This window comes from Homo sapiens, chromosome 14 (assembly GCF_000001405.40).
Source record: "Homo sapiens chromosome 14, GRCh38.p14 Primary Assembly".
NCBI lineage: Eukaryota > Metazoa > Chordata > Mammalia > Primates > Hominidae > Homo > Homo sapiens.
This window is the reverse complement of record NC_000014.9, coordinates 66,092,222-66,102,853: the sequence shown is the minus strand read 5'-3', so window position 1 is coordinate 66,102,853 and position 10,632 is coordinate 66,092,222. Positions and strand designations below refer to the sequence as shown.

Below are 10,632 nucleotides of genomic sequence, written 5' to 3'. Positions count from 1 at the left end.
CATGAGAGTGACACATTGTTCATGAACCTCAGGTGCTTCTCATAGCACTGGGGAGCTGCTGGGGCTGTCATTCTAAGGATTTCCATCTGAAACGGGAGAGTTCCCTGGCCCTTCCTCACAGTACATGCGACAGGGGTATGGCTCATCTGTTTGGCTGCCATGTGTGCTCAAATCCCTTACCGAATGGGGAGCACATAGATGGGCAGGTGCAGGAGCCAGAGCAAGCTCCCCTGGACTCTGGCTCCATGGCAGCATCCAAGGGTGGGTGTCTGCAACTCTCGAAACCCAAGTGGGCATGTGTTACAGTGCACTCTTTCAGCCTTGCCAACCATGGACAGCTTAAGTCTTAACCAGCTCAATGCCCTCTTGGTATCCAGGTCCTTGTCCAGTGTCCAGGAAGAATCATGTCACACATGGACTTGAAGGATGGTGAATGCAGGGGTTTGAGTGGTGGAGGTGGCTCTCAGTGGGATGGATGGGGAGCTGGAAAGGTGATGGAGTGGGAAGATAATCTTCCCCTGGAGTTCGGCTGTCCAGTGGCTGATCTCCTCTCTGACTGTCCCCAGCCAAACTCCTCTCGACATTCAGATGCTCCTCTTCTCTCTACTATGCTGCTCTGCCATTCTGCTGCTCTTCTGATCATCTCCTCATCTGCTTCTGGGGCCTGGGGTCTGGCACTTACATGGGTACAGGATAGGGGAGCAAGGCAGGCATGAAAACAGGAATGCATGTTCCCATATAGGGCCTCGGATTTCCAAGCTTGAGGGTGGGGCTTTTGCTGGGAACCACCTTCTTTTAACCAGTATTTCCCTGTCTCCTGTCCCTATCACATCCAGCTGGAGCCTTTTAAATTGTAACCTCCACTTCCCAGGTCATCCTAGCCTTAAGCAGAGTGTTCAGAGAATGTGAGTGATTATTAGAGTGATAACAGAAACCACTTTTGGCAATGAGTTCCCAGTGGGCCTGCTGGGACTTCAAATTTCCCTCTCCCTTGGCCCAGTCCCTGGTAGCTTCTATGTTCTACTGTAACTCCCCAGTGGATTCTTCTTGCCTGCTGTCCAGATAGAGCCAATTTGTCAAGGCAGGAGAATTGCAATGAAGAGTTTAATTCACACAGAGCCAGCTGAATGGGAGTTTTATTATTACTTAAATCGGTCTCCTTGAGAATTGGAGAGCTAGGGTTTTTCAAAGGTAGTTTGGGGATGGGGTGAGGTTGGGTAGGCAAAGGAGGCTCACTGCTGATTGGTTAGGGGGTGCAAGCATAGGGGTGTGGGAAATGATCCTCCTGGACACTGAATAGCTTCTGGGTGGGGCCACAGGAACAGATGGCAGGTCCAGGTGGAGTCATCATTGGTAGGTGGGTCCTTGGAGCCATAGATTTCAGATATGCAAAAAATCTGAGAAGATATCTTAAAAGGCCAGTCTTCCAATTCTACAATAGTGATGTTATCTGCAGGAGTAACTGGGGAAGTTGCATATCTTATGACCTCTGGAATAATGGCTGGCAATCATTTATGTCTACACCTTAGCAGAATTCAGGCCCCCCTCCTTCCTATGAACCCAAAATATCTGAGACAGGTTTCAGTTAATTTAGAAAGTTTATGGCCGGGCACGGTGGCTCATGCCTGTAATCCCAGCACTTTGGGAGACCGAGGCAGGCGGATCACGAGGTCGGGAGATGAGACCATCCTGGCCAACACAGTGAAACCCCGTCTCTACTAAAAAAAAAAATACAAAAAATTAGCCAGGCATGGTGGCAGGCACCTGCAGTCCCAGCTACTTGGGAGGGTGAGGCAGGAGAATGGCGTGAACCCGGGAGGTGGAGGTTGCAGTGAGCTGAGATGGGGCCACTGCACTCCAGCCTGGGCGACAGAGTGAGACTCCATCTCAAAAAAAAAAAAAAAAGAAGAAGAAGAAAGAAAGTTTATTTTGCCAAGGTTAAGTATGCACCCATGACACACCATCAGGAGGTCATGAGGACCTCTGCCTAAGGTGGGAGTGGGGGGACTTCCAGATCAGGTAGATTTAAACATATTCTAAATGTCACTTGGTTAAAAGAGATTATCAGTAGAAAGGAATATCTGGGTTAAGATTAGGGGTTGTGGAAACCAAGGTTTTATCATGCAGATAAAACCTCCAGGTAAATGACAAATACAATAGATTTGATAATGACAGATAATGACAGTAATGACAAATAGATAATAGATAATAATATAATAGATAATGATAATAGATAATGACAAAGACAATAGATCGTAAATGCTTTGTAGCCGACTTAAGGTCTGTCTTGATTCCGGAGAGGTATAATCAGGCACATCTGAACCCCACTTCTCATCATGGCCTGAGCAGTCTTTCAGGTTAAATTTTAGAGTGCCCTGGCCAAGGAGGGAGTCCATTCAGATGGTGGCAGCGTTCAGGGGGACTTTGAATTTTGGTTTACATTCCCCTAAGCTGGTGTTCTCTCAGTAGCTTTACAAAGGCAGTTGAGTTTTGGGGAAGGGCTATTATCATTTAAAATATAAACTAAAAGCCTCCCAAAGATAGCCCAGGAATAATTAAAGGTAGCTTAAAGGCTAAAGGCACAAGAGGGATTGGTTAGATCAGATCTCCTCCACTTTCATAATTTTCTCTCTGATACAATTTTTGCAAAGGTGGTTTCACTATGTGTCACCCTTCAAGTTCTCCTGCAGCCACCAGTGCATAACCTGGCTCTTGTGACTGTGAAGTCATATTCCAACCTCTAGGGTTGGGTTTGACTCATTTGAGGGCCACTAATTTGACTTCAAAAGATAGTAGGATTTGGGGAGAAGGGAGAAGAAGTTAAAAATTCTTGTTTCTGAGGAGAATATCCTTCTTTTGCAATCCTTCTCGCTGTCAAACCTGTGGGTTCCCTTTTTCCTGCTGTCATCTTCTTCTTCCTAATTGGATTAACTTGGGAGAAAATCCATTTGGCTTTCTTTAATAAGTTGTGGTGAGATGGGATAGTTCCCTTTACCCCCTTCGTGTGCAGGAACTGGCTTGTTTCACTCAGCCCACTGCTGGCCACTCCTCACAGGAGTGCAGAAACCAGGCTGAATGAATGCTGGAACCAGCCAGTTGCTCCTCTCTGGCAGGAGCAGGCTCCGTGCGGGCCCCGCAGCAGCGTCCAAGCATGTTACAACCAGTATTATTTCAGCTCTGCCATCTGGGGATGGCCAAGTGCCAACCAGCTCAGTGGAGGGCAGGGGTGGGCAGCACCTGCCCTCTTGGCACCTGGGTTCTTGTCCAGCATCCAAGAAGAATCAGGTCACACAAAGTGTCTGAAAGGTAATGAATGTGGAAGACTTTATTGAGTGGTGAGTGATTCTCAGTGGAAAGGGAGGCTGGAAAGGGGATGAGAGGTGATCTTTCCCTGAAGCCCAGTGTTCTCTAGCTGGGCCCCTCTCTGAAGCTGCACCATCTGAAGTTAGCTGTGTCTATCTGTAGTCTCCAACGGTGATTGCTTCTCTGCTCGATGCTCAGCCACTTGTGTTGCTCTGCTAGCTGAAGTCTTTTATGGGCACAGGATAGGGGTGAGGCAGGCCAAAAAGGCAACATTTGGGTGGAAGAACCAGGTCAGCTCTTTTCCCTTAGGGCGACAGTTCCAGGCTTAAGGGTAGGGTTTAGCTGGCAGCCCAGCCCTTTTGTATCAGTGGTAAGATGGGCCTGAGGCAGCCTCTTACTGGACAGGAGTCCCTGCTCCTCGTGTACTGCAAGCAGGGCCTAAAGGGAGCAGAAGGAAGGCATAGAGGGACAGGAATGGACCAGATGTTCAGAGCCTGAGAGATGTAACAGGTGTGACTGGCTGGGGCCGGCATCACAGGCAGTAAAGAATTTACCAAGACAATCATAGGTAAAGAAAGGCAGATTTATTAGAGAAAGTATGAAGATATGTTGCAGGAGTGCAACAGGCAGCTCAGCAGAGAAAGGGCTGTCTGCGAAGAGGCGGGGGCTGGGGGAAGTTTTATAGCGTCATGCTGGAGGGGCTACATGCAGACAAAGTTTGCATATAAGATCGTGCTGCTGGGGCTCCATGAAAGGAGAGAGGTATTTGGGAACAGGATGTTGTGCCAGCAGCGGGACCTGGTGCCCTTTCCTCATTGTTACTTAGTTATTTTATTAGGACTCCACAAGACAGAAATCCCCTTTCTTCCTGTGTATGTCCCCCTGTGCTTCTCACCAACAGAGCAGTTAGAATGGATGCCTAAAGCAGGATGTCAGCCTTGGGGACAAAGCCAGAGGGCCACTTGATCTGCTTCCAGCCCAGCTCACCAGCTGAGGACCAGGTTAGGCCGAATGTTCAGGGCCACCATGTATGATGGGTGTTTTGTGCATTTGAGACACAAAGGTCTTGACTGAGGTAGCAAAAAGTGGGGATTGTGTCCAGTTTATGTTCCTTTAATTAGGATGACTCTGTCCAGAGGAAGGGGCACAACAACACTGTGAGCCTGGGGATGTTTGCCCAAAGAGGCCTCCTTTTTCTAATTTTCACGAAGGTGCTACATCGGCTGCCCTGCCTTTCAGAGGTGTTCATTGTGCCACTGATAGCCCTTAGTATCCTGCAGCAGCTGTTGTTGGAGGAGTTCAGGGTTTGGAATCATAGCTTTCTCTCTTTCCTTCAAACACTAGTCATAATATACAGCTGCTGCTTTTGCCATGAGGATCAGTCTTGGCCTTTCCGTAGGGAACTGACTGACTTTGTAGGGAACTAACTGACTTTGTTGGGAAGTTTGACACTTTCTGATTCTCTTCCTTTATGCGTGCAACAGGGATTCTCAGGAGCATTTTTCATCTGGAAATGTAAGGATTTGGAGAGCTGATTCTCGGAGACTATGGGTTAGCAAGTCTTACATTGCTCCATTCCCAAGAGAAAATTTTAGGTAATCAAAGGAATAGAACAAAACGAGGATGAAGCGAGGGTTTTATTCTTCATGCCTTACACAATGTCATGAGAACTTTTGCATGATAAATACCTATAGAATATCTGTCAGAAAATAGAGGCCATCCACTTCTTGGAGCCCCACATGACAAAGAAAAAGCTTTAATGTATGGCACCTGTGAAACATCTTTTGGTGTAAATGAAAGAGATTGGTCACTTCCAGGGGGACACGGTGAGCAGCTGGTGTCTGCAGATCTTTTCCTTCCACAAACCTCTTTCATTCAGCTTTCCCAAAACAAGTGGCAGGCAGGTCTCAAATCTCTATTCTGATGTTTGATGCCATTCAAGGAGCAATCTCTTTAAAGAAAAAGGCTGAGAAACTAGTTTGAGTATTATCTGACTATAATTTGACATTATCATGAGTTGAAAATGACAGAATTTTGTTGAACAAAAACTCTTTTGACTGATGTGTGTCTCTTCTAGTTCGGAGCATTTCAGTCATTGTTTTATAAAAATAATTTTATTTACTTGAGGTTTGGCAAAGAGAAAGAGAAACAATTTACTCTTTAAGTCAATAATTGCCTTATAAAGAGTATATGACCTGTTTTACTTTTTGCACAAATTTATGCAGTACATGTGCAACTTTGTTATGTGCAGAGATTGGGTGGTTGTCAAGTCATAGCTTTTAGTGTATATTCCTCACCCAAATAACATACATTGTACCCATTAACTAATTTGTCATCATTCATTCTCCTCCCAACACCCCCCACCCCGCCACTCTTCTGAGTCTTCGTTGTCCAGCATCCCACTCCCTACATCCATGTGTACACATTTTTTAGCACCCACTTATGAGTGAGAACATGTAATGTTTGACTTTCTGTGCCTGGATTGTTTCACTTAAGATAATGTGACCTGTTTTGTTGTGTTTCCTTTCCAGAAACTCTTTATATCTTTTCCTATCTCCAGTGCTCTAAACTGTCATGATTATATGCCTTGGTCTTTTCCATGTATTGTGTTGAGAGCTTGGTGAGCCTTTTAATCTGAAAGTTTATGTCCTGTGGTCTGTGACATTTGTCTCTTTTACATTTCTTTGAAAATCTTGTCCCCCTCTGTTTACTCTGTTTTGTCCTTCTGGAGCTCAGAGGATTCAGATGTTGGATTTCCTGAACTAAACCCCTAACTCGTTCAAAAATATTTTTTTCTCATGATTTTACTTAATTAACCATTCTTAACACTTTTAAATCTTTTATTGATCTTTTATTCATTAACCATTTTTAAACATTTTAAGACAAACCCAAACTTACAGGAAATTCACAGATACGAAAAAGAAAAAGAACTTTTTTCCTAGTCCATTTGAAAGCAAGTTGTGAAGATGACACATCATGACATCTCACTGCTTTAGTCTGTATTTCCTGCAAACAAGGACATTCCCCCACAAAAACACAAAATAAGCATAACAATTAGAAAATTAACATTTATACATGACTACCATCTAATTCTCAGACCCCAGTTAAGTTTTTCTGTTTTCCTCAATAATGTCCTCAACAGCAAAAAGATCCAGTTCAGTATCATATATTGCAGTTAGTCATTTCTCTTTAGTCTTCTTAATCTAATTTTTCCTTCATGACTTTGACACTTTGGAAAATCACAGGCCAGTTATCTTGTAGACTTTCCCTCAAATTGGGTTTGCCTGATGCTTTCTTTTGATTCGATTCAGGTCACGCGTCTTTGGTAGCAGATTTCACAGATGGGCCGCAGAGCATTTGCACTGCATCCGCTCAGGTGGTGCATGATTTTGATTCGTCCTATCCCTGATGATGTTCTCTTTGATCATTTGATTAAGGAGATATCTGCCACACTTCTCTGTAAAGTTGCACTTTTTCCCTTTGTAATTAACAAGTACTTTATGGAAAGGAATTCTGAAACTCTGTAAATATCCTTTTCTTCATCAAACTTCCCATATAGTCAGTATTTATATGCGTATGACTCATGGTTTCCTATTATGTTCAGTGGATTATAATCCCCTACCATCATTATTGATTTTGATGCTCAGAATGTCCCCAATTTCAGCCGATTTCTGGATCTTTTGATATGTCACATCATTCTTTGAGAGCTTTCTTACTTTTAGGCATACAAAATATTTCAGACTCACCTTAGTGTTGGAATTAGCCATCTTTCTAGTGGTCAATGGTATTTAGAAGTTGAGATCTGAGTGCTGTGTTCATTGCTATTGGGGCACTGCCAGGCCCTCTCAGAGTGTAATACACAAAATACACACACAAATGCACAAACAGTATACACATAACTATATATACATTTTTATTCCTATATCTATCTATAGTGAAAACAATATATAAGTTCATTCCAATACCTCTAATACCATAAGGTTCATTCTAGTTTTCTCTTTTTCCATATTTTTAACTTCCTTTTCTGAGAGTGATATCTTAACATCTTTACTTATCTGATCAATGGCTTTATTTAAACCAACTCCCAATCAAAGCCGTCTTTCCCTCCCCCACAAGGATCTCCGCCTCATCCTAGTCAGGATCTGACTCCCTGTGCCAGGCTGCCATTGAGCCCCCAACTATGTGGATATCTTCCTCGCTCCTCTTGTGCTCAGACACCCCAAGCAGGGCTTCTGACCCTGCACAGATACCATTTCAGGGTCACCCTGCACCAGGCCACCACACCCCCACACCCCCAGGTCAGGCTCCAATTCCTGCACTGCACCAGCACATGCCCTCCCCTCCCTTAGCCTCCACACGGTAAAGACCCTCACTTTTCTCAGCCTCATCTCATGGTTTTGAGACTGACTTGTTCATAAAGGGAAAAAGAAGAAATTATCTTGATCTTTTTATTTTGCCTTCTAGAGTCTCTCTTCTCCTTTACCTTCCAATCTTTCTATTAAACTTTTAAAAATTTATGACTTTTTTTTTAAAGACAGGGTCTCACTCTGTCACCCAGGCTGGAGTGCAGTGGCACAATCGTAGCTCACTACAGTCTTGAACTTCTGGGCTTAAGTGATTCCCCCTGCCTTAGTCTCCCAAGTAGCCCAAGTGTGTGCCACCATGCCCAGCTAATTTTTAAAACTATTTGTCGAGATGGAATCTCACTATGTTGCCCAGGCTAGTCTCAAACTCCTGGCCTCAAGCGATCCTCCCACCTTGGCCTCCCAAACAGTTGGGATTACAGTCATGAGCCGACCTTGATGGCAGTGGCAGGCCCTCCAGAGCGTCCACTGCCATCGTGCCAGCTGCAGCTGGAGGCGTAGGTGGTGGTGGCAGGAGTGACTGCAGGAGCAGCAGTGGCTATGGTGGGCCCCTGTGACTCGCGTCCCCGAGGCAGCTGACTACGCCACCTCCATCGTCGTACAGCCGGGCAGGACCCGCTCCCAGACCCAGAGCCTCCGCTGCAGCCTCAACCCTGCTTCCTGCTGCATCTCGGAAGCCTGCGAGCACCCGGCGGAAGGCACAGCCGGGACTTACTGGGACAGCTCTGAGAGCGTCAGGTTTATTTGTTGTGGGGCTGGCCAGGGCCGCCATGCCACCTGCACCTTGTCCACCGATGCTGCGGTGAAAATGCGGACAGGAGGTGGGCAGTCCCTAGAGCCCACCCCTGGGAGTCCCTCAGAGCCCACTGCCCTGGGAGCCGCAGTGATGGGGTCGGGCTGAGTTGTCCGCTGCTGGGGGAGCAGCACAGTCGGGCATGGAGGGGCGGGCAGAGAGGGGCCTCGAGGCGGAGGTAGGTCCAGGGTGGTGGTGCGCTCCACTCTGCACGGAACCAGCAGGGGCTGGGAGCAGGCAGGAGCCCCGCCCTCCCAGGTGCAGCTGCAGCCACCCAAGTCATGGCTGCACACCCAGGCATCTCTGCACTCTCGGGGTCGGGAAGGACCCGCGCCCTGCCCCCGCAGGCTCAGAGGTGTCTGCTCCTGCTGCCTGGCCTCTCCCCGCTCCCTGCACTTGCTCTGATCTTGGAGCAAAGTTGTAGTCAAGCCTGGACGCTGTCGCAGCCTGGGCAGGTGTGTGCACGCTCGAGGCAGTGTGGACACGCCAGCCCCCTGCCTCCTCGCCCCGCTGGACTTTAGGCGCCAAAGAACACAAGAGGGAGTCCAGGTGGGCCTGAGGGCAGCTCAGTGCTGGCACACAGGTGCCTGTTGGCCCAAATAGCCTGAATGCCATGAATGGCAGTAGGAGGCAAACAGGCAGAAGGGGACGAGTCCTCTGTGAATCCCCACTTTCAAGCTGGGGAGCACCTGAACCCTGAGGGCGGGGCTGCAGTTCCCGTGAACCGGAGTGGGAACATGCGGTGTTTTTTCCAGGCCCGCCCGTCGACCAATCAGCACGCACTTCCTCCCCTCTGAGACCCATAAAAAGCTTGGGACTCAGCCAGACCTAAAGAGATGACTGGAGACCAGCTGCAAAGAGGTGCTATCTACCCTAGGGTCTCCTCTCTGCTAGGAGCTGAACACTCCTTAGGATGACCTGCCCAGCGGAGAGGAGCTACCCTTTCTGCTAAGAGCTGAACACTCGTTGGGACACCGTTGGGACACCAGAGAGGGGTTGCCCACTGCGGGTCTCCTGTGAGCTGTTTGTTACTCAATAAAGCTCCTCTTTGTCTTGCTCACCCTCTGCTTGTCTGTGTACTTCATTCTTCCTGGACTCAGGACAAGAACTTGGGACCTGACAGATGGCAGGGCTAAAAGAATTGTAATACAAACAGGACTGAAACATGCCCCTTGCTCACCACGTTGTGAGCAACAAGGAGAGAAGAGAGAAGGAGAAAAGAGCTGCAGCCCTTCAGGGAGCCCAGACCTAAGAGCTTGCCAAGCTGGGGCTGTGACAGCCTCTTTAGGGCTCTGTGATTCCTGGCGTCTCCAAGCTTCTGGGTGACAACACATTTCCTGGTGTCAGCCGTAGAAACTCCCTGTGGTACGCCTGGTCCGGCTGCCGCCTCACAGGGAACCAGCCCCTTTGCCGGTGCCTGGGGTTGCCCACCCCACTGGAGCCAGCATGCCTGGCTGTGCTCAGTGGCTGGACCCCATGCTTACTTGCTTACACACCCCTCGCCGCCCCACTCACCCTTGGCAGACGTGGGATCCAGGCCGGAAGCGTGAGCTGAGCACAGCCTGCAGGGGCCGAGCAAAACTTGGGCAAAGGCACCACTGGCCACAGAGGTTTCCAGCTGGAAAAGCAACAGCCCAAGGATCCCATAACAACATACTTTTAATCCTCAAGAGTTCTTATTCTCTGAATGTTCTTTTTAAATAGCACTCTGATCTTGTTTAACAGTTATATTTCTTATCTGTCTTCTTAACTGTTGCTTTTCTTTCCTCCTATTCTCTGCATGTTTCTGATAGTCCTAAATTTCTTTTTTTATTGTTTATTATAATTTCTGTCTTTCATGTAGGAGACTTTCTCAAATACCTGTTGATGACCTGTCCAATTGTATTTAAGAATGAACCAATAAAAAGCTGAATGCAGGTCCTACGTATGGAGGAGACCTGCCAGCCAACTGACCTCACCATGACAAAGACCTCCCTTGTGACTCCTTGGTTCCCTTGTATCACAAGACACCCCTACACTCAAGCTTCCCTATGTCACAAGTTACATCTAACCATAAAAAAGAAATAGTTACTAGGAAGAAATCCTTGACAGCTTTCTCTAGTTACTAATCTATTTCTGCATAAATGTTCCATGCAAAGGCATACAAGAGAACACCTAAAACTTCTCAGACTT

General features: G+C 47.2%; 2 annotated features.

Moving 5' to 3' along the window:
• Positions 1–170: an enhancer, noted in NCBI's record as "experimental_35366 CRE fragment used in MPRA reporter constructs". NCBI's record gives its function as "activates a minimal promoter by MPRAs in K562 erythroleukemia cells, with activity observed for the non-introgressed 14:66569487 variant allele {active_cell/tissue: K562}" and the evidence as "EXISTENCE:reporter gene assay evidence [ECO:0000049][PMID:34662402]".
• Positions 9,393–9,893: an enhancer, noted in NCBI's record as "H3K4me1 hESC enhancer chr14:66559679-66560179 (GRCh37/hg19 assembly coordinates)". NCBI's record gives its function as "activates a minimal SCP1, AML or CMV promoter by ChIP-STARR-seq in primed H9 embryonic stem cells {active_cell/tissue: H9 hESC(primed)}" and the evidence as "EXISTENCE:reporter gene assay evidence [ECO:0000049][PMID:30033119]".